Source organism: Homo sapiens, chromosome 17 (genome assembly GCF_000001405.40).
Source record: "Homo sapiens chromosome 17, GRCh38.p14 Primary Assembly".
Taxonomy (NCBI): Eukaryota; Metazoa; Chordata; class Mammalia; order Primates; family Hominidae; genus Homo; species Homo sapiens.
The window spans coordinates 20381607-20406454 of NC_000017.11; the positions used below are offsets into that span (position 1 = coordinate 20381607).

The 24848-nt window shown below is 39.1% G+C and overlaps 1 pseudogene across 1 annotated transcript in view; it reads left to right on the forward strand.

Moving 5' to 3' along the window:
• Positions 1-20585, forward strand: part of CCDC144CP (coiled-coil domain containing 144C, pseudogene) — an 81018-nt pseudogene extending 60433 nt beyond the window's left edge. Inside the window, exons 13-16 of the transcript NR_023380.1 lie at positions 9869-10162; positions 10758-10978; positions 18915-18957; positions 20450-20585. The product of NR_023380.1 is annotated as a coiled-coil domain containing 144C, pseudogene (transcript). The remainder of the gene's footprint in view (positions 1-9868; positions 10163-10757; positions 10979-18914; positions 18958-20449) is intronic.
• Positions 20586-24848: the final 4263 nt, after the last annotated feature.

Consider the following 24848-nt stretch of genomic DNA (forward strand, 5'->3'; position numbering starts at 1 on the left):
CCCTCCAATCACTGATGCCACACCTGAATTTTGAGGGCTGCACACCTCCCACCCTTAGGGCAGCGGCCCAAGCCAAAAGTTAGGTTGCCGAGAGACCTACAACTCTCTGGGGACGTGCTGGTTGTCTGGGCTTGGTAGAGTCAGAGCAGGTTGTAGAGTATGTCTGCGGATCTGCGGGTCGTCTGTTGATATAATGTGGGTCAAGGGGGGAGGATCCCCGGGCAGGGCTGTGGTTCTGTGGGTGTGCACCTGGTGTGATGCGTGCAGCCCAGGGTTTTTTGCCCAGCAGATGGCTGTGGGGAGCACTTAGCTGGCACTCACCCAACCAGGCCTCCCTCCAGTGTCTGCCCCCAGGGCAGGCCCAACTAGGTAGTTTTGTCCCCCAGCCTTCCGTGCCCAGATCAACTGGACTGTTAGCTGTTTCAGGCAGTGGTGCTCCCTCAGGCAGAGGCTGTGGACAGACAGGTTACACCCTTCCTGGACAGATCTTGTAGAACAGGGTCCCCAACCTCCAGGTGGCAGACCAGTACTGGTCTGTGGCCTGTTAGGAACTGGGCCGCACAGCAGGAGGTGAGGGGAGGGCTGGTGAGTGAGCATTACCACGTGAGCTTCGCCTCTTGTCACATCAGCAGCGGCATTAGATTCTCATAGGAGCGCGAGCCGTGTTGTGAACTGTGCACGTGAGGGACCTAGGTTGCGTGCTCCTTATGAGAATCTAATGCCTGACGATCTGAGGTGGAACAGTTCCATCGCGAAACCATCCCCACCCCACCGTCTGTGGAAAAATTGTTTTCCACAATGCCAGCACCTGGTGCCAAAAAGGTTGGGGACTGCTGTTGCAGAGGGAGCACACCCGGCTCCCACACTGGCATATGAACTTGGGCCCTCTCTTCTCGGCATTGTGAGAGAGAAAGCTACTCCTCTTCTTGAGCTCAGGCCACAGATACCAGCTCAGTATACTTGAGCAGTGTGCTTGAATCCTGGGGGTATTGAGACCAGGTTCATGACTTTGTCTTCTGGTCTCATGGGGTTGAGCTTTGGCTGTGCTGAGGGTGGGGGCTGAACTGCTCCCAGGCCTCCGGCAAAGCACTCAGATGGGGCAGTGGAGGCTGTGCTGTGTGCTTACCCTTGCGTGAGTAGCTAGGCAGGGGCCTTGGGAGGGGCTGGTGGACAAGAAGGTACACAGACCAGATATGCTGCAGTCCCATGGTAAATGCAGCCCTACTGTCTTCTGGCCTGGCAGTAAGCAGGAGCTAGAGTCACTCAGAGCAAGATGGAGAGCCTTGGGGGATGGGTGCCTATGGTCATGTTTTGCTGCAGCCGTACCAGGTGCGAAACCTTCTGGGCTGTATGCGGGTTTGAGCTCTGCCTCTGCCTATTCGCCAGCCGGTTCCTCTTGCCAGTTCAGATGTCTGTGTGGGTCCAGGGATCTCCGGGAGCTAGTATCCCAGAGTTCGTTGGTGGGAGTGTGGTGCTGCACAGTTCCTTCACCCACCCCTTCCTTAGTTTCTGGATTGGGAGGTAATCCTAGTGCTTGGTGACTCTGTGCAGGCTTCCCAGATTTATTCCTCTTCAGCCTTGATGCCTGCATTACCTATCAAATTTCAGTGTTTTCTCTCCAAAGACCTACTCCAAGTGTGATAATTTACTTGATATTTTGGTTTCTCTCTCGCAGAGAGGCATTTCCTGGCTGCATGTGGTGACCATCTTGTCTTCCCCTAAAAACATCAAAATTGGTATTTAATAGAGCTTGCGTTCAGTCTGTAGACTGCTTTCAGTAATAAGGTCATTTAACCAATATTCTTCCAGTCCGTGAGCATGCAATATCTTTCCATGTTTGTGTCCTCTACAATTTCTTTTGTCGGTGTTTTGTAGTTTTTTTTTTTTTTTTTTGTAAAGCTCTTTACAAAATCTCTCTGGTTAACTTTATTCTGAGCCATTTTATTATTTTGTAGCTAGAATAGTGGGACGGCCTTCTTGATGTCTTTTTATGCTAGTTGATTATTAGTGTATAGAAATGTTACACATGCTATTGGCATTATTTTTGTATGCTGATTTTGTGGCCTGCACCTTTGCTGAATTCTTTAGTTCTAACAGGCTTTTTTGGTGGCGTGTTTATGGTTTTCTGTATATGAGATCAGGTCATGTGCACAGGGAGACAATTTGACTTTCTGTTTTCCAATCTGGATCCCCTTTATTTCTCTGACAATTTTTGTATCTGCATCCTTCAGGGATATTGGCATGTAGTTTTCTTTTGTTGTTGTGTCTTTGTCTGGGTTTGGCCTTAGAGTAATACTGACCTTTAGAATAAACTAGGAAGATTTTGGAATAATTTATAAAAAATTGCTGTTAGTTTTTCCTTAAAAGTTTAGTAGAATTCAGAGTAACTTACCCAGTTTTAGACCTTTCTTTGTTGGTAAACTTTATTACTGATTCAATTACATTACCGTTATTGGTCTGTCCAGGTTTCCTTTTCTTCTTGGTTCATTCTTGCTGGTTATGCACTTCCAGGAATGTATCCATTTTCCATACGTTTCCAGTTTGTTGGCATATAGTTGTTCATAATAGTCTCTCATGACTCCATGTATTTCTTTGCTATCTCCTTTTATGTTTCCCTCTTTATTTACTTGAGTTTTCTCTTTTTTCTTGTTAATGTAGTTTGCAGTTTTGCTTTATTAGTCTACCTCGTTCAGTTCTGCCCTGCCTTTATCATTTCTTTCCTTCTACTACATTTGAGTTTTGGGTCTGTTCTTGCTTTTTTGGTTTCTTCAGGTGTATTGTTAGGTTGTTTATTTGAAGTCTTTCTCTTTTTTGGATGTAGCTGTTAATTGCTATAAATTGCCCTCTTAGTGCTTCTTTTGTCACTTTCTATAGGGATTGATTTTTTTTCCCCATTTTCATTTGTTTCAAGATATTTTAAATTTTTTTTCTTAATTTATTGATTGGCCCAGTTGTTCATTCAGGAGCATGCTGTTTAATTTCCATGCATTTGTACAGTTTACAAAGTTTTTGTCGTTACTGATTTCCATTTTTATTCCATTGTGGTTTGAGAAGATATTTGATATGAGCTTTTAAACTCAATATATGGTCTATTCTGGAGAATGTTCTATGTGCTAATGAGAAGAATGTGTATTCTGCAGCTTCTTAATACAGTGTTCTGTAAGTGTCTGCTAGGTCCATGTGGTCTATAGTGCAGGTTCATTTTGATGTTTCTTTGTTGATTTTCTGTTTAGATGATCCCTTCAATGCTGAAAGTCAGACTATGGAGTCCCCATCTATTATTGTACTGGAGGCTATCTGTCTCTTTAGTTTCAGTGATGTTTGCCTTATATATCTGTGTGCTCAGGTATTGAGTATATATACCTTTATGACTGCTGTATCCTCTTGCTGAATTGATCCTGTTATTATTATATAATGCCCTTCTCTTTCTCTTTTATTTATTTTTTTTTTTTTTTACTTAAGATCTATTTTGTCTGATATAAATATAGCTACTTCTGTGTGCTTTTGGTTTCCATTTGCATGGAATATCCTTCCTTCCTTTCACTTGCAGTCTATGTGTCTTTACAGGTAAAGTGAGTTTCTTGTAGACAGCATATTATTTGGTCTTTTTTTGTAATCCATTCATTCTATCTATATCTTTAATTGGGGAATTTAAATCATGTATATTCAAAGTTTTTATGATAGGTGAGGACTTACTCCTTTCATTTTATTAATTGTTTAGTGATTGTTTTGTCTATCATTTGTTCCTATCTTCCTCTTTTATTGTTTACCTCTACAATTTGCTGGTTTTCTGTAGTGATAATGTTTGATTCCTTTCTCTTTTTCAGTTCTGTACCTGCTCTACCAGTGAGTCTTACAGTTTTTTGATTTTCATGGTGGTAGACATTGTCTTTTTGCTTCCAGATTGAGGACTCCTGTAAGCATTTCTTGTAGGATCAGTCTAGTGGTGATGCATTCCTTCAGGTTTTGCTTGTCTGAGATGTTATTTCTTTTTCAGTTTTATTTATTTATTGGAGACAGAGTCTCACTCTGTTGCCCTGGCTGGAGTTCAGTGGCATGATCTCAGCTTACTGCAACCTCTGCCTCCCAGGTTCAAGCAATTCTTGTGCCTCAGCCTCCTGAGTAGCTGGGACTACAGGCATGAGCCACCATGCCTAGCTAATTTGTATATTTTTCGTAGAGACAGGGTTTTGCCAAATTGCCCAGGCTGGTCTTGAACTCCTGAGCTCAAGCAATCCCCCAACCTTGGCCTCCCAAAGTGCTAGGATTACAGGGATGAACCACTGCACCTGGCCCCTCTTTTTCAGTTTTAAAGGATAGCTTTGCTAGGTATAATATTCTTGACAGGCAGTCTTTTTCTTCCCGCATATTAAATATATCATGTCATTCTCTCCTATCCTCTAAGGTTTCTGCTGACAAATATGCTATTTGATATGGATTCCCTTGTATGTGACTTGGTGTTTTTCTCTTGCTCTTTGTCTTTGACTTTTGACATTTGACTCTGATGTGCCGCAGAGAAGACATTTTTTATTGTATTTCTTTGGGGATCTTTGAGACATCTGTATCCAGATGTTTGCATCTCTCACAAGACTTGGTAGTTTTTCAGCTATTATTTCATTAGATAGGTTTTCTGTGCCTTTTCCCATCTCTTCTATTTCTGCAACTCCCAATATCCGAAAAAATTTTGGCTCATGATGGTCCATATATTACATACACTGTCTTCATTCTTTTTCTTTTCTTTTTTTTCTTTTTGCTTTTTGTTTGCCTGGCCTCATATAAAGACCTCTCTTCAAGTTCAGAAATTCATTCTTCTCCTTGATCTAGTCTATTGCCAACATTCTCAGTTGTTTTTATTTTATGTATTGAATTCTCAGTTCCAGGATTTCTGTTTGGTTCCTTTTAATGCTATCTTTTTCATTGTTGAATTTCTTATTTAGATCATAAATTGTTTTCCTGATTCATTTGTATTACCTATCTTTCCTATCAGGAATCTTTCCTGATTCCTTTGTATTATTGTGTATCTCACTATGTTTCCTTAAGATCATTATTTTGAATTTTATAGGTTTTGTTTTCTTTGGGATCTGTTACTGGAGAATTACTCTGTTCCTTTGGAGGTGTCATGTTTCTTTGATTTTTCATACTTCTTGTGTCCTTAATGTTGATAACTGTGCAGCTGGTATAACAGTCACTTCATCTAGTTTTAGGGGTTGACTTTTTTCTGTAGATGTATCTATGTTGTTGGTTGAATATGGTGCTCTGGCATTGATGATGGGTGGGTGCATTGGTGTGGTCTCCATATACTTATGCTTTCTTCTGCTGTAATCAACATCAGCGTCTGTAAGTTCCTCAGTGGCTTACGGTGTGGTTGTTAGTAGCAGGGGATGCTGTGGTGAGGCCTTGATGGTGATGGGGAGGACAGCAGGCCGGTCCTCAGGCACATTGATGGCATACACAAGGATGTATGTGTGATTGGCAGCACCAGGCCATGCTTCCCAGTTTTTGTGGCAGTGGGTTACCTGAGTGGGCTGGCCCTTGGGCCTCCAGGTGGTGTGTGCTGGGATCAGAGGTGGCAATAGCAGGCCAGGCCACAGGACCTTGGTGACACTTGTGGCACTGGAGATGACAGTAGCAGCTGGGGGCCGGACCTTGGATCCCTTGGTAGCATGCATGGGCACTGGTAGTGGTGAAAGCAGGCTGCATGGGCATTTCTCTGGCCCCCTATGAGGAACATTTAGGTGGGTACCTAAGGCAGTGTGTGGAGCAGGCTTGTCCACAGGTTAACTGAAGACACGTGCAGGAACCTTTGCCAGTGGCTGGTGAGGCAGCCCTGTCTTTATGCTCCTGGATGCCATGTGCAGGTGCCGGTGGGGCAGTAGGACTCTCCTTGGTATTAGTGGTAGACGGGGCCTGGGTAAAGGCACAGAGGCCTGGGTGGGGTGGACTGCTCCTCAGGGTCCTGGACAGTGTATGTGAGCACTGATAGCAACAATAGCAGCAGCAAGCAAAGTGGCCTTGTCTTCAGGCTCTCATATGGCTCACATGGGCGCCACCCCTGGTGGGTTTGACAGGCTTGTTCTCAGGCTCCTGCATGGTACACTCGAGTGGGCCAGTCCTCCGGCCTCCTAAAGGTATGTACAGGTATGCACAGCACTGCCCCTGAAGGGGATAGGGCTGCTGGTGGTGGCAGTGGTGTCAGTCAGGTGGCTCCTAGGCTCTAGACAGCACATACTTAGGATCCCTTTGACCTAGAGTAGTTTCCCTGGTGGGCTATTAGGTGACCACCTATTTCCACAGGTATATGGTGCTGTGGGACTAGGGATTTGGGGGAATCAGTCCTAGTTTTGAGATGATCCTGGCTGGGCTGGCTACCTCAGTTCCCTTTCCTCCTGTCATCAGAGGATCCCTATCAATTTCCTGCTGAATTCCAGTATACTCTCTTTGATGTTTTCCTCAAGGTGTGGTTACCTACTTGCTGTTTTGGTTTTTCTTTTTGAAAGAGGTGAGTGCTGGGTATTCCCAGTCAGCCATCTCGATGATGTCTCTGTCTATGCTGTGCATATTAAGGAATGTATAGACATGTTTTAAAACCTGCACAACTGACCCTATAACTATAATTTAAAAGATTTCTACCACTTGAAAAACACACTAATTTCTAATTATTACCTCTCACCCCACACACAGGTTTTATTTAATATGGCAGCAGACTCAGGCTTAAAGTGCAAGATCCTAACCTCCCACCACACACACACAAGTTTCATTTAATATGGCAGCAAGCTCAGGCTTGAAGTGCAAGACCCTACCATCTTTATCACAGATGGTAGGGATGCACCCTGGGTTGTGGTTTCTGCGGTATAACCCCTTGAGTGCATTTCTTGTCAACACAAAGACGTAAGAACTAAAGGGACAACTTGTCTACCACTCACCCACCCAGCATTCTCCTAAACTGCCAGAGACCCTCCTATTGAACAGAGAGAAAATGGGAGTCACAAAGGGAATATTAGACCATAGAAATTCTGAAATACAGCCTGATGTGTGCTTCCACTTACTTGATTTGGACTTCATGGGAACCATCCTCTGTGGCTTTTTGTGATACCTTCTTGGCTCTTTGTTGTATCCTTTTCATAAGCAATGACCTGTGTTTTCAGCTAAGTAGTTTCTTCAGCCAGCTTCCTCCCTGTAGAACCTCTTAGGTCCTAAGGCCTCTCTTCATTTTTACTGTCTTGTTGTCTTTTAAGCCAAGCTAGCAAGCAGTGCTATTGTTACTATAATTCTCTTAGAGTCTCTTGTGAATTTTACTTGAGTTCTTGTCATTGGAAAAACCACTTGTCCCAATCTCTTTGAGATAAGCACTTCACCTTGTGCTTCCTGTGAAGGAAGCACACTGTTCTGTGTAGTAGGACAGTGCCTTAAGATGCTTATACCCTTAAGATCTTTAAGGGAATTTGAGGCACCACCTTAAATCTTTCTAAGGTCTTAAAATAGGGCCTTACACTGACAGTCTTGGCTTCACCTTCAGACTTTCTCCTGGCGGCACCCTGGATTTGATCTTATCTCAGAGGCCATTTATTTCAGCAATACAGATGCTCCTCAGATTAGGATGGGTTTATGTCTGGATGGCATTTGCATTTGTTATGTCTGATATTTGCAATTTATAGGCCATCATAAATTGCAAATATCAGAAGTTATGGGTGGGTTTTCCATTTACGATAATTTCCACTTACAGTGACTTTATCCTGATGTAACCACCCCTGTAAGCCAAAAGGCTTACACATATCATTTCATTACTCAACACATATCATTTTCACAGTATTATAAAAAGTCAGAAAATGGTGAGTCGAACCATGCTAAGTCAAGGACTGTCTATATTTGGGAATCTGACATGTGGAGAGGCTATAAAAAGGATACTGAACCTAGAAAGTCCTGGTTCTTTTATATGTAGTAGTCTTTCTTTAGCTTATCTCTTGCATTGGTTTTACTTTCAGCGGCTGTGTAGTAACAGTGCCCTTTCCTTCAGGTTCCCGTATCGTCTTCTTCACTATCCTTGAAGCCCTTCCTACCAGCTTCTTCGAGGACCATCAGGCTTCCACTAACAGTCTCTTTAAAACTCTTCTTGTTTTTGTGCTTATTCTTCTGTAGGTCCTTTTAGCTTCTGATTAGCTCCTGGTCCAATGGTAGTCCTACATGTTTTAGTAGTTTTTGTTGTGTTGTTGTTGTGCAATCTATATGTAGTGTCAATATCTGTATCAGTTATTTCTTGGTATATAAGAAAATGCAGTGTCTCAAAACAACATCTATTTTGTTCACAATCTGCAGTTTTAGGCAAGGCTCAGTGGGTCCAACTCACTTTCTCTTTACTTGGCATCAGCTGAGGTGACTTAAAGCTGGGGACTAGAATCATCTAAAGGCTTGTTTATTTACCTGTGCGGCATTCGAAGCTGGCTTTTGGCTGGGACGTTAGGTAGGGAAGTCAGCTCGAACACCTACCTACATGAGGGTTCACGGTGTGGTTTGGGCTTTCTCACGGCATGTTGGCTGCATTTTAAGGACAAGCGTCCCTAGAGAGAGAGTCAGGTAGAAGCTGTGTGACTTTTTGTAACCAACTTTAGAAGTCACACAGCAGTTCTGCCACATTGTGTTCCGGAGAAGCCGGTTGTCAATGCCAGCTTGTATTCAGGAGAGGGAATGTCATGGGAGAAGTGGCAAGCAATTTGTAGATGTTTTAAAACCACCACTTCACTTACCTTTATAAAATAAAAGACAATCATAATTATTTCCTCTAAAGGAAAGCAGTTATTTCCAACTCAGCACCACTGAAATTTCAGTGCAATTTTTTGTTGTCATTCTTTAATGTGCTCCCTTATTTTGTGTAAAGTAACAATGAATTACAAGATTGTGCTACTGAATTAAGGCATTTTTCTTCAGAAAAATGGTATGGATCATGCCACTGAACTTTTATACTGGGAGATGTGATTGCTTCTTAACTCCAAGTATCATTACTCTTTGAAATGTAACTCAAATTAGCGTAAGACATTTGCAGTTCAGCAAAAGGCTTATGGTATTGGAATCCTTTTTTTTTTTTTTTCCAAAATGTATTAATTAGAGTCTTATTTTCAGAGTCTTATTATGGGAGCCATTTATTGACTCAGGCCCAAATAATTCAATATGATGCCCCTAAAACTTCTCTGCAAATTATGGAGAATGATAGTGGGTTAAAGGAATAAGAGACTTTGTGCTAAAGGGGTAACTTAGAGCCATTTTAAGGAGGAAAGCCATGAAACCGTCATAGGAAAACAGAAGTCTAAGATCAAGTCCAAATGTTGTGTGGCAAAGATGATGAAAGTAAAGGATGTATTTTTGTGAATTCTGGTGGTTTTAACTTTGTTTTTAATTTTCTGAGTAATCCAAGGGTCTGTATTTTATGAATCTACAACAGTATAGGTAACATTTTATTGCAACTGAATTTATTTCAAAAATTATTAGTTTTGGCTGGGCGCGGTGGCTCACGTCTGTAATCTCAGCACTTTGGGAGGCCGAGGCGAGTGGATCATGAGGTCAGGAGATCGAGACCATCCTGGCTAACACGGTGAAACCCCATCTACTAAAAATAAAAAATAAATAAATAAAAAAATTTAGCCAGGGGTGGTGGTGGGCGCCTGTAGTCCCAGCTACTCCAGCTACGCAGGAGAATGGCCTGAACCCGGGAGGCAGAGCTTGTAGTGAGCCGAGATCCCGTCACTGTACTCCAGCCTGGGCGACAGAGCGAGACTCCATCTCAAAAAAAAAAAAAAAAAAAAAAATATTAGTTTTTTGTTAGACCATTCTCAGTCTACCTTCTTCATTACCAAACTATATTGTTTTACTCATGCAGATTGACCTTACAGAAGCACAGGAAACTGTACCTTCACGATGTCTACATCTGGATGCAGAGAATGAAGTTCTTCAACTTCAACAGACATTATTCTCTATGAAAGCAATACAAAAGCAATGTGAAACACTACAGAAGAATAAGAAGCAGCTGAAACAAGAAGTAGTAAACCTCAAAAGTTATATGGAAAGAAATATGTTAGAACGTGGTGAAGCTGAATGGCATAAACTGTTGATTGAAGAAAGAGCAAGGAAGGAGATAGAAGAAAAATTAAACGAAGCCATTCTCACCTTGCAGGTTGGTTTATTTATCTGTAATGTGCTTTCATTCATTTCGCTGCAAATTTTATTTTGGATATATACATTGTACATGTTTTCTCTACTTTCCTTACAGCAATTTGTTTGGTAGACTTCTAGAAGGAAGGTGGTATTTGTTTCTCCATTTAAATATTTTTGTTTCCATCATTCTTATAACTAAATTGATCTTCCATAAGAATAATTCTCACTAGAGAATCATTTAATTACTAAAGCCAGTTGGCATAAAACAAGACTAATAGAAAAAGTAAAAAAAAAAATTGTGATTTAGAAATTATACCATACTCTTGAACTGCTTTTAAGTTACGTTGTTCCACTTTTAAAATTTTAACTTGGTTCTGTCATTCTTTGGAGAATTGTTCAACAATTCAGATTCAGTTATTAATTCAGTTGGTACTGGTCATAAATATGTTAAGCTTGAGCTTCTTTCTTTCTTCACATTTTTCTTAAAATTGTTCTCTGAATCACGTACTTAAAATTGTTCTCTGAATCACTGACTCCAAACAAAAGGAAACAAATACACAGTAATTATTCAGGTTACAATTACTTTTAAAATGTTCCCTTTTAATTTATTTTAGAAACAAGCAGCAGTATCTCATGAACAGTTAGCACAGTTAAGGGAGGATAATACTACTTCAATAAAAACTCAGATGGAACTCACAGTCATAGATCTGGAATCTGAAATCTCCAGAATAAAAACTTCGCAAGCCGACTTTAATAAAACCAAATTGGAAAGATATAAGGAACTCTACCTAGAAGAAGTGAAAGTTAGAGAATCCTTGTCAAATGAACTCAGTAGGTAAGTCAATATGCAGAATCATAGAAAATAAGTTAAGCTCATTAATTTGCCTTCAAAAGCATGACTTTTAGTGAGACAGGTTCATGAGATTTGTGGGAAGTGAAAGCTAACTAGATCATACAATTTTGGAAAATTGTAAATTATATATAGTAAATGAACTTAACCTTTAAGTAAAATTGAAAATAGTAAATGAACGTAACCTTTAAAATCTTTAGTCCAGGACAGTTCCTGTCTCTCCTGTTTTTTGGGTTTATGTGGCTTCCCCCCACCCCTTAATATTCTTATATAGTTAACCTGATCTATTAGGGTTTCAGCTAAATATTTATGAAGCTTCATAATTTAGACAGTGATACCATTATAAAAATTGCTTGTCAGTATTCCCTTAATTCAAAATACTAATGAATTTAATTAATTTCTGGAAGACGACAGCTGAAAACCAAAAGGGTCAAGTACGACTACTCTGGACACATTCTGGCACTCAGTAAATTCACTTTGCTTGATTGTGATCATTAGAGGGTGCCTTGAGAAGAAGTGTCCTGTATAGTTTTTCCAATCCACATAAAGGCACACTTGTGAAGCAGAGAATGATCAACTAGGGTTGAAGGGAAGTATAACTTACTAAGTGATAAAAAATAACACCTTGGTCAGCCTGAGGGGGTATATGGAAGACAGAAAGGGCAGGCCCCACCTCTGATACATGGGCCGCAGTGTTAGGAGCTGATTGTCCTCCATGCTGCTTTAGTTCTCTTTGATTTCAGCAGTCTTATTCTCCCCAAGGAAAAGTCGCCGTGAATGATTCCTCAGTGCCAAATGCTCAAGTTTTTCCAGATAATGGGTGAAATATACAAGGGTGGTGAAAACAATTGTTTGAAAATGTCTTTGAGAGAGAGTTTTTTAGACAATCTCTAACAACATGTATTGTTTACTAAATACAAGTATTTCTAGCTTTTATTTTTACTTTTAGTTTTTTCTTGTATATATTTAAGGAGTACAACTTGATGTTTTGATATATTTATACGCAGTGAAATGGTTATTTTGTCAAGCAAATTAATATCTTCATCATTTCACATAGTTACCCTTGGAATACAAGTAATTCTAATGGCATCCTTAAGAATCGTATAAGTAGAGTCATTCCAGATGGGCAACAAGTGTTAACTATGAAGCCATACATCATTGATAGTCTTTTCTGTCCCCTCCCTCTCTTTGAACTACTTGTTTGTTAGAAATCCCTCTAGAAATAGATGTACTTCTTTAGAACAATGTTAAAACTATAATTGGATACAGTAGGCATGCTCTAACACATTTTCAGAGTTAAAACACGGCTTATGGTATATTCCATTTACTCTTAATGGCAACTTTTAGAACAATCGAAGTCATTTAGGAATCATTTAGGAAAAAATGAAATACTAAGCATTTGTCTTTTGCAATCTTCATAGAACTAATGAGATGATAGCAGAGGTCAGTACACAACTTACTGTGGAGAAAGAGCAGACCAGATCCAGATCTCTATTCACTGCTTATGCTACAAGGCCAGTCCTAGAGTCACCTTGCGTTGGAAATCTTAATGATAGTGAAGGTCTCAACAGAAAACATATTCCAAGAAAAAAGAGGTCTGCTCTTAAGGACATGGAGAGCTACTTGTTGAAGTTTAGCTATCTTTTTTCCTTCGGCGTTCAGATTTCTGATAGAATTCTTGTATGTTATTTGGTAAAATACTCAGTTACTTAATTGTCTTGTGTATGGTAAGTAAAAGTAATAATTACCTGTGTTAATAAAGAGAGGAGACAGAAATTTTACAGTTATTTTCAAGTCTCTGGAGCTCTCATTCATAAGAGATTACTCCTTTGTTAACTTTATTTAATAAATGTAACCAAACTGACACATTTTAAATTTTTTTAAAAACTGCATTTAAGTTAGATTTTAACCAAAGGTTTACTTTGATGTGCTTTGTCTTACTAATTGATTTTAGTTTGTCTGGGGTTCACTTTTAATGGGTTTAGTGTGCCTGGGGTCACTTTTAAAGTTTTTCTGCATCATCTCAGGTTTTCTACCCGTCATCATATGTGAATGATTGGTGTCCAAACACTAACCACCCATGGATGTTTATTATTTAAAAGGACCCAAGGTGAACACTTTTATATGTTATATAAACCTGCAACACTTGATTAATCTGTTCTTTAAGTTAAAAGTTTTGTGATTTTCTTACATGAGTACATCTGTAATTGCTATTGCACTTAATAGTGTTTTAATCCCAATTTTAGTAAAATGTGTCTGTTGCTATGCAATAGCACAGTGGTTTTGAAATAGTTAAATCAAATAAATATTTGAATTTTTAAAGTAAAGCTCACATAAGTTTTGTCTCTCTACCTGGCCATAACTTTAGTAATTGATGACTAAGATGGCAATGGTATCTAGAGTCCTTCAATAGCAAATGTGACCAAACAGAATCAGTTCTATTCTTAATACCCCAAATTCCATGTAAAGCTGCACATGGACATCTCCCCTGGACATGTAACAGGAACCTTTTAGTTCAACCGTGTGGTTTCACTCAGAGTAAGAGTCTATTTCTGGGGATTTCAAAATGGATCCAAAAATGACGAGCTGTATCAACTATAGAGTTGGTAAGGAAAAAAAAAAACAAAACGTAGTTCAACTATGCTTGACCCAGATTAAGGTATTTGTCTAACATTTGTCCATTTTTCAACTGAGGGAAAATTACAAAAACTGGGCACAGTGGCACACACCTGTAGTCCCAGCTGCTCCTGAGGCTGAGGCAGGAAGATCACTTGAACCCAGGAGTTCAAATCTGCAGTGCGCAATGATTATTCCTGTGAGTAGCTACGGCACTGCAGCATTCCAATCTGGGTAACATAGCAAGATTCTGTCTCTTAAAAAAATTACAAAATCCATAAAACATTTGTTTGAACAACAATAGATAAATAGTTTTCTTTGTGTATATTGTTGTTTTTAAAATTTTCAATCGATGCACATTGGCTTATAGTTTTGATGTTTTTATGATCTCCTTAGCGCACAGAAAAGTAGCGCAGGCCCACATGGAATGAACCTCAACCTTGTTGTGTTTACCTGGCTATTTCGTGTCCTAACAAATCATAGAAGAGCAAATCTAAGGTTTCTTAGATAGCATTGTGGCCAAATAGCTTAAAAGGGAATGCATTAAATGATTGTTTTAATACATAGATTACAAGAGCCCAGCTAGCTGATATTTTTAATCATATTGTTCGCTTAGGTTTTATTTTTCTGAAAAAAATGAGATGATCAGCGTCCAAATGCCTCAGTCACGAAATTGTACCACTGGGTACTAATGGGAAATGAATGTTAAATACGTCTGTAAATGGTTAAGCAAGATGCAAATATAATGTTCTCATTAGTACTATGAACCCCCCAAATTTGAGACAAGTCTCAATTAATTTAGAAAGTTTATTTTGCCGAGGTTGAGGACACACATCCGTGACACAGCCTCAGGAAGTCCTGATGACATGTGTCCAAGGTGGTTGGGGCACAACTTGGTTTTATACATTTTAGGGAGACATGAGACATCAATCAATATATTTAAGAAGTACATTGGTTCACTCTGGAAAGGCGGGACAATTTGAAGCAAAGGGAGGAAGACTGGTAGCGGGGAGGGGGCTTCCAGGTCACAGATAGATGAGAGACAAACAGTTGCACTCTTTTGAGTTTCTGATTAGCCTTTCCAAAGGAGACAGTCAGATCTGCATTTATCTTAGTGAGCAGAGAGGTAACTTTGAATAGAATGGGAGGCAGGTTTGCCCTAAGCAGTTTCCAGCCTGAGTTTTCCTTTTAGCTTAGTGATTTTGGAGGCCCAAGATATTTTCCTTTCACAATACTTACCAGAAAAACAAGGTAATGTATCATTTTACAAGATGGTGCTGAGAGAGTATAAAAAGCAGATGTAGGCCGGGCACTGTAGCTCAAACCTATAATCCCAGCACCTTGGGAGGCCAAGGTGGGTGGATCACCTGAGGTCAGGAGTTCGAGACCAACCTCCAACATGGTGAAACCCCGTACCTAATAAAAATACAAAAATTAGCTGGGCATGGTGGTGTGCGCCTGCAGTCCCAGTTACTTGGGAGGCTGAGGCAGGAGAATCGCTTGAACCTGGGAGGCAAAGGTTGCAGTGAGCTGAGATTGTGCTGCTGCACTCCAACCTGGGCGACAGAGCAAGACTCCATCTCATGGGTGGGGGAAAAAAATAAATAAAATAAATAAAAGCAGATGTGATGCAAGGGAAGATTTTTGAGGAACTTTTTTTTTTTAATTTCTGTTTTGTGGGGAAGGGGGTGTTCATTTTTTAGTATTTCTAGATAAGTAGAAAATTTGTTTGTTTTAAAGTTAATGTTAATGTAGTAGTTCCAAGGCATACCTAGTTTCCTTGTGGGGCATTTTTTGCCCAATCATGTTAGATTTACTAAAAGAGATTTAAAAGCATGATTATATCAAGATATGAGTGCTTGGTGCGGAGGCTCACACGTGTAATCCCAGCACTTTGGGAGGCCGAGGCGAGTGGGTCACTTGAGGTCAGGAATTCGAGACCAGCCTGGACAACATGGTGAAACCCTGTCTCTGCTAAAAATACAAAAATTAGCCTGGCGTGGTGGCAGGCGCCTATAATCCTAGCTACTCGGGAGGCTGAGGCTGGAGAATCGCTTGAACCCAGGACGCAGAGGTTGCAGTGAGCCAAGATTGTGCCACTGCACTGCAGCCCAGGTGACAGAGCAAGACTCCATCTCAAAAAAAAAAAAGTGGAGGTAGTTGTGAAGAATGTATGGTAAGATTAGAAAAGTCAAGGAAGAAGAAACTATTTCTATAAGTGTTATACAGTCATGGTTCTTTTTCAGGCTGTGGTGGATAGGCAGCAAATGGTGCTCCTCATTCCCTTCTGAGTTCAGAACACAGGAGTCAGATAGATGGACATCAACACACTAGCTCTATTACAGACTCATGATAACTAATGGGAGGATGTGGCTCAGATGTGCAGCCACAGTATTTTATCCCAGATTAGGCACTAACCCACAGAGTTTTAAGTGGAGAAAACAAATGCTTGACACCCATCGCAGGTGCATGCTGCTTACTGCAGAGATGACAGCAGACCTGAACTCATGTCACTGTGGGCAGACACATCTTTTGAAAGAGACCCTGAGCCAAGCAAGCACACTGTGTGCTTTGCCCAAATTCACCCATTAGGTAGATCTGATATCCTCTCAAGAGGAAGCTATAGGTAGAGAGAGTCTAAGTCCTCATTTGAAACCTGAGGCCAGGAAAATGAAGGTTCTCCTATCATTTATGGCTGGATTTAAGTGATAATTGAAATTAATCCCATGTCTTTGTATGTACAAATTAGTGATTAGAAGTTGGACAGACGTGTGGTAGATGGTAAAGAGAAATCTGTTTTGTGTTTTCAGTTTTTCTATAAGTAACTCACAACATGGATAATTGACTTGATTGATTTTCCTAAACCACGTCTTATTTGGAGGAGAATGAATAGTTCTTTTAAGGAACAGTTTTCTTAATTTCTGCTTGCTTGGTTCAACTAAAGATTTTCTCCTTCAAGTTTTCTGTTCTGCGTTTTGAAAAATGGGTTCTTTATAAATTGAGTGTCTTGACTGGTACTAGCCAGAAGTTATGATATTAATTGTTCTTTAAATTTGATTCATAACTTACAATTTGGAGAGCTACTATTTTTTGTCTCATGCTTAAACATTATAGAGCATCATGACAGTTTATAGATGCATTTTCTCTTTTTTTTGTTGTTGTTGTTTTTGAGACAGAGTCTCACTCTGTCTCCCAGGCTGGAGAGCAGTGGCGTGATCTCTGCTCACTGCAACCTCTGCCTGCCGGGTTCAAGCGATTCTCCTGCCTCAGCCTCCTGAGTAGCTGGGACTACAGGTGCACACCACCACGCCTGGCTAATTTTTATATTTTTAGTAGAGACGGGGTTTCACCATATTGTCCAGGCTGGTCTTGAACTCCTAACCTTGTGATCCACCCAATTCAGCCTCCCAAAGTGCTGAGATTACAGGCGTGAGCCACCACACCTGGACTGTCTGAGTTATTTTTTTATTTTTATTATTATTATTATTATTTTTGATGCGGAGTCTGACTCTGTCATCCAGGCTGGAGTGCAGTGGCACGATCTCGGCTCACTGCAAGCTCCGCCTCCTGGGTTCACGCCATTCTCCTGCCTCAGCCTCCTGAGTAGCTGGGACTACAGGCGCCTGCCACCATGCCCGGCTAATTTTGTGTATTTTTAGTAGAGACGGGGTTTCATTGTGTTAGCCAGGATGGTCTTGATCTTCTGACCTTGTGATCCTCCCGTCTCGGCCTCCCAAAGTGCTGGGATTACAGGTGTGAGCCACCGCGCCCAGCCTGAGTTATTTTTAAAAATCTGTATTTCTTTTCTGAATATGAAGGAAGGTGCTGGCATAGAATAACTCCAGGCTCAGTGAAAGATCTGAAGCCCACTCCTACCTTGTAACTAATTGGTTTTGTGACCTCAGGCAAGCTGCAGGCTCTCTGAGCCTGTTTTGTTTCTTATGTAAAATTAAGGACTTTGACTAAATCAGTGACATTCATACGTTTAAGTAAATCTCTTTTTTTTTTTAAGAATGGAACTTTTTTAAATTGCATAAAACCACATTATAGAAAACAGAAGTAGTGCTGCCTGACTAAAGGAAGGATCAGTGCTCTGAAGCTGTGACTTTCTTATCCCTTAATCCTTCAGCATCCTCTGTGGAACCTTAGATTTCTGTGGGACATAGCTTGAAAAGGATCATTTCTTGAATTATTACTTTTATAAGGCCTGGATGGTAATGCTGTTGTCATGTTACCTACTCTATAAAGCCTATCTGTAATGTTTTTGTCACAGAAATGTTATGGAAAGGAGTCTCAAAATATTGGTAAACCTGTTAGTAAAACAAAAAAATTGACTTGACACCTAAAATTTGTAAAGGCATTAGATATCATTATCTTTATCACCACAAACTATCTCAGACCCTGTTCTAGGCATTTAGTGAGAGAATACCTATTCTAAAAAAAAATTAAATAAGAGCACTCTAGATAGGGACACTGGCAATAAGTTTGAAATATTCCCACACCTTTCATAATTAAGTAGATAACTATAACTTGTCAGATGCTTAAAAAATGGGTACTAATTTCTGAAAAGAAATCAAAGTTGTAGTTAAATAACTCTAAATTGTTTTCCTAGTTTTTAATTCTAGACACTCATGAATCAAAGAAACTAAGATTGAAAACTGGCTCTAACCTGTATTTATCCTTGCTTTTATGTAAATTTTCTGAAATCTTTGTGTCCGTATGAATGAAGAAATGTTAATCATAATAGCATAATGTTTTTAATCTTTTGCCAGTGGAACTTTCACATGGCATCACAACAATACTGCTTTCTTCAAGTATGTATTAAAGATTCTGTGCTGAATTAATAGCAAAGAACATACTTTGAAATTATTATTTTCTAAAAGTGGAGAATGGAGAGTTCATTGTAAGGAACTATTCATTAAAGTGAAAAACTGGTTAGACCTTGATAAAGGGCAGAGTTTTGATAAGAATGGGAAAGTAATGCATTCATTGCAGAATATGACTTGAATTGTGTAACCTCTGTACTGATAAGGGAAAACATCACACTTTTGAAATGACATAGATCCAACAGACCAATATTAATTGTACTTTTGTGAGATTAATCTAAACAGCATAACACATATATGTTCTCCATTATCTAAACTTAAAATAGGTAGGAATTTATATGATATTTTTAATTTAAGCTATCTTCAAGTTAGGTCTAGTCTGTAAAAGTATTATTTAAAGGCCGCATTTTGTAATTAATGCTCCTTACCATGATAATGTCTCTTCTTAAACGTTATAAATAATATTTGACTTATTTCAGATGCAGCAGAAGTTGCAAAATGACCTAACTGCAGAAGTAGCAGGTATGTTACCAAAATTTATGAATTAAATTTAGATTAATATATATCTGAAATAAACTGCAAACGACATCCCTTTCCGTTCTTGGGCTAGTAGATACTACATTAAATATTCTTTCATATACATCTAATGAAAGATGTGAAAACCTGAACATGTATAATGAAGAGCATACTTATGCCTCATGAATCATCACGTTCCATAGCTTGAAAAAAATAGCTCAAGAAGTCTGGCTCTACTCTTCACTTCTGCCATCCCTATGGAATTGTCAGCCAGCACACAGAAACGGTTCTCAGAAAACAGAGGCATCATCAACTTCTCAGGGTTATGGTAGTGATTTTTAAGGCCAAAACATCCCAGTCTCATCTAGTAACCTATTCAAGCAGTTACAGTTTATAAGCAGTCGCTTGAGAGGTAACACTTTAAATCTCCAGTCATTTACAGTGTCATTGGTTTACTTTTGCCCTCAGAAAAAGTTCCAAATTCCTTAACATGTAATATAAACACCCACATTCATTTGGTTCTTGTCAAGTTACTCAGGCTTATCTCTCACCACTTACTTTACTCTGCCCCTTTGCTCTAGGATCCAGCCAAACTGGACTGCACAGAATTCCACAGTGCTCGTCCTTCTCCTCCAGCTCTTTGCACTTGCTTCTTTGCTCTATCTGCCAACCTTTTTTTCTCATCCTTCAGGTATCCACTAACCATGCCTCCACCGAAAAACCTACAGTATCGAGACAAAACTGGGATAGGTGTCCCTCTTGCATTCCAATAGTGCCCTGTTTTATACCTGTCAGGGTATCTATGACTTGGTATGGAAATTGCCTATTTGTCTGCTTTTTCAGGTTATAGCATGTGATTGCTGAGGGGTGGACTGTATCATCTTCATCTTGTAACTCCAGGGCATAGTCTAGTACCTTAGCATGCGGTTGTTGAATAAATGAATGAAGAATGAGAAAACCAGAAGCTGTGATACACAACCACAATGATCATTTAGTGTGCAACTATGGGCAGATTCTTATCTAATAATAAGTTAGCATTGTAGTCATACATACTTTTCATTCTTGTTAACACTGAAAAAGCTCTCAACTCTTTTTTACTGATTTGCACTTAGTTAACTATGAAATATATAGAATATAATTCTTTGGCCAGGCATGTTGGCTCACGTTTGTAGTCCCAGCACTTTGGGAGCCTGAGGCAGGCAGATCACTGGAGCCCAGGAGTTTGAGAGCAGCCTGTGCCAACATGACGAAACCCTGCCCCTATAAAAAATACAAAAGCTTGCCAGGCACAGTGGCTCATGCCTGCAGTTCCAAGTACTTGGGGCTGAGGCAGGAGAATTGCTTAAGCCTGGGAGGACGAGACTGCAGTGACCTGTGATCACACCACGGCACTCCAGCATAGGTGAAAGAGTGAGACCCTATCTTAAAATAATAACAATAATAATAATAATAATAATAATAATAATAATAATAATATAATTCTTGCTTTTTTTTTCAGCTGCTACTAAATATGAACCTGGATCCTATATAGCTTCTCCTCTAGGATTTACACACAAGGAAAATCTGAATCAAGATCCAGTTTTGGAAGTAGCAAAAGAATATGCACAGATTTTAAGAAGAAAATACATACTCTGAAAGATAAGGCAATTTTATTTGGGCTATTCACATGATATTTTGTTTCCCATTAAATATATGATGTGAACATTTTTACTAAAGGGAAATATTCTATGTTATACATGTCTGATGAAAATTTATATAGTATTTTAAATAATGTTTCTTGGCCTCTTCAGCTAACTTTTAAGTGGATTTTGCAAATGAAAACCAGTATTACTGAGTTTTACATACTCGAACTGCCCAAATGTTAGCTGTTTAAACAGCCAAATAATCAAGTTGCCATTAATAATTTAGTGGAGCCAATTGATGGCTTGTTTGTATTTTATAATTTTATCTTTATACATAGTGATAGATTTAAGTTTAGATAGACATCATTTTGGTATACTGGTACTGTGGTCATTGTCAATGTTTGGATATATTACGATTGTTATAGTGCAATCAAACTTAGATAATTTTAATTTTAAGCACTGATTTATTTAGATCTTTCCTTGTGGAAAAATAAGGTTTGCCTAAGGCTTTTTGCTTTTTTATTTATTGTTTCATTTCTTTATTAGATTAACTTTTGGGAAACAGTCTTAAAATTGGAGAAAATTTCCACATTTTAGGAAAAACAGCTTTCCCCCTGTGGGCCATTTGAGAGTAAATTGCTGACATTATGCCATCACATCTGGTATGTGGGTATTCCCACAAGTCAGGACATTTTATATAACTACTTCATAATCAGAAAGTTAACATCAATACACTTGATCATTTCATTCTCAGTTTCTTTTCAAGTTTTCTTAATTGTCTATAATGTTCTTTGTAGCAGAAGGATCCCATTCAGGTCCATGAATTTCATTTAGTTGTCATGACTCTTTCAGTCTGGAACAGTTCCTCAGTTTTTCTTTGACCTTTATGACCTTAAATCTTTTGAAGAGTAAAGTCCAATAATACAGAATGTCCCTCCATTGGATTTCTCTGAAGTTTTTTTATGATAAGATTTAGATGATAATTTTTTTTTTTGGCAAGAGTATCACAGAAGTTATCCCATGATCTTCTCACTGCATTCTATCAGGTGACCTGCAATTATTATTATTTTTTATTTTCATCTTTTAAGTTCAGGGGTACATGTGCAGGATGTGCAGGATGTCCAGGTTTGTTACATAGGTAAATAGGTGCCATGGTGGTTTGCTGCACAGATCATCCCATCACCTAGGTATTAATAATAGCCCAGCATCCATTAGCTGTTCTTCACGATGCTCTCCCTTCTCTCACCCGCCACCATCCCACATGCCCCTGTGTGTGTTGTTCCCCGCCATGTGTCCATGTGTTCTCATTATTCAGCTCCCACTTGTAAGTGAGAGCATGCAGTATTTCATTTTCTATTTCTGCGTTGGTTTGCTGAGGATAATGTTCTGCAGCTCCACCCATGTCCCTGCAAAGGACATGTCTCATTCCTTTTCATGGCTGCATAGTATTCCATGGTGTATATGTACCACATTTTCTTTATCCAGTTTATCATTGATGGGCTTTTAGGTTGATTCTTTGTCTTTGCTATTGTGAATAGTGCTGCAATGAACATACCTGTGCGTGTATCTTTATACTAGAATTAGTTATATTCCTTTGGGTATATACCAAGTAATGGGATTGCTGGGTTAAATGGTATTTCAGGTTCTAGATCTTTGAGGAATCACCACACTGTCTTCCACACTGGTTGAACTAATTTACACTCCTATCAACAGTGTAAAAGCATTCCTGTTTCTCCATAATCTTGCCAGCATCTTTTCATTTTTTTGAATTATAGCCATTCTGACTGTTGTGAGATGGTGTCTCATTGTGGTTTTGATTTGCATTTCTCAGATGATCAGTGATGTTGAGGTTTTTTTGTTTGTTGGCTGCATGTATGCCTTCTTTTGAAAAGTGTCTGTTTGTGTCCTTTGACCACTTTCTAATGGGGTTGGGTTTTTTTTTCTTGTAAATTTGTTTAAGTTCCTTGTAGATGCTGGATATTAGACCTTTGTCAGATGGATAGAGTGCAAAAATTTTCTCCCATTCTGTAGGTTGTCGGTTTACTCTGTTGATAGTTTCTTAATGCTGTGCAGAAGCTCTTTAGTTTAATTAGATCCCATTTGTCAATTTTGGCTTTTGTTGCAATTGCTTTTGGCATCTTCGTCATGAAATCTTTGCCCTTGCCTGTGTCCTGAATGGCATTGCCTAGGTTTTCTTTCAGGATTTTTATAGTTTTGGGTTGTAGATTTAAGTCTTTAATCCATCTTGAGTTAACTTTTGTATATGGGTTAAGGAAGGGGTCCAGTGTCAATTTGCTGCATATGGCTAGCCAGTTCTCCCAGCACCATTTATTAAATAGGGAATCTTTTCCCCATTGCTTCCTTTTGTCAGGTTTGTCAAAGATCACATGGTTGTAGGTGTGTGGTCTTATTTCTGGGTTCTCTATTCTGTTCCATTGGTCTATGTGTCGGTTCTTGTACCAGCACCATGCTGTTTTGGTTACTGTAGTCTTGTAGTATATTTTGAAGCTGGGTAGCATGATGCCTCTAGCTTTGCTCTTCTTGCTTAGGATTGTCTTGGCTATTTGGGCTCTGTTTTGGTTCCATATGAATTTTAAAATAGCTTTTTCTAGGTCTGTAAAGAATGTCAATAGTAGTTTAATGGGCCTAGCATTTAATTTACAGATTGCCTTGGGCAGTGTGGTCATTTTCATGATATTGATCCTTCCTGTCTGTGAGCATATGTTTTTCCATTTGTTTGTGTCATCTCTGATTTCTTTGAATAATGGTTTATAGTTATCCTTGAAAAGGTCCTTCACTTTTCTTGTTAGCTGTATTCCTAGGTATTATACTCTTCTTGTGGCAATTGTGAATGGGAGTTAATTCATGATTTTTCTCTCGGCTTGCCTGTTGTTGGTGTATAGGAATGCTAGTGACTTTTGCACATTGATTTTGTATCCTGAGACTTTGTTGAAGTTGCTTATCAGCTAAGAAGTTTTTGAGCTGAGATGATGGAGTTTTCTAGATATAGGATCATATCATCTGCAAAGAAAGTTTGACTTCCTGTCTTCCTATTTGAATAGCTTTTCTTTCTTTCTCTTGCCTGATTGCCTTGGTGAGAATTTCTAATACTGTGTTGAATAGGAGTGGTGAGAGAGGGCATCTTTGTCTTGTGTCAGTTTTCAAGGGAATGCTTCCAGGTTTTCAGGTACTCAGGCAACAAATAGCGTTACGAATAGAATAGTACCTCACATCTCAATGCTAATGTTGAACGTAAATGGCCTAAATGCTCCACTTAAAAGATATAGAATGGCAGAATGGGTAAGAATTCACCAACCAAGTTGCTGCTGTCTTCAGGAGACTCACCTAACACATACGGACTCACATAAACTTAAGGCAAAGGGTTGGAAAAAGACACTTCGTCTAAATGGACACATCAAAAGCGAGCAGGAGTAGCTGTTCTTATATCAGACAAAACGGACTTTAAGACAACAGCAGTTTTAAAAAGACAAAGAGGGACATTATATAATGATAAAAGGACTAGTTCAACAGGAAAATATCACAGTCCTAAATATATATGCACCTAATACTGGAGATCCCAAATTTATAAAACAATTACTACTAGACATAAGAAATGAGGTAGTTGGCAACACAATAATAGTGGGGGATGTTAATACTCCGCTGGCAGCACGAGGCAGATCACCAAGACAGAAAGTCAACAAAGAAACAATGGACTTAAACTATACCCTAGAACAAATGGACTTAACAGATACTTACAGAACATTCTACCCAACAAGCATAGAATATACATTGTATACATCAGAACACGGGACATTCTCCAAAATAGACCATATGATAGGGCACAAAACAAGTCTCAGTAAATTTAAGAAAATCAGAATTATATCAAGTACTCTCTCAGACCACAGTGGAATAAAATTGGAAATTAATTCCAAAAGGAACACTCAAAAGCATGCAAATACATGGTAATTAAATAACCTACTCCTGAATGATTGTTGGGTCAACAATGATATCAAGAGGGAAATTTAAAAATTCTTTGAACTGAACGATAATAGTGACACAACCTATCAAAAACTCTGGGATACAGCAAAAGTGGAGCTAAGAAGAAAATTCATAGCATTAAATGCCTATATCAAAAAGTCTGAAAGAGCACAAATAAACAATCTAAGGTCACACCTCACAGAATTGGAGAAACTAGAACAGTCCAAATCCAAACCCAGCAGAAGAAAAGAAATAACAAAATCAGAACAAAACTAAATGAAATTGAAACAAAAAAAT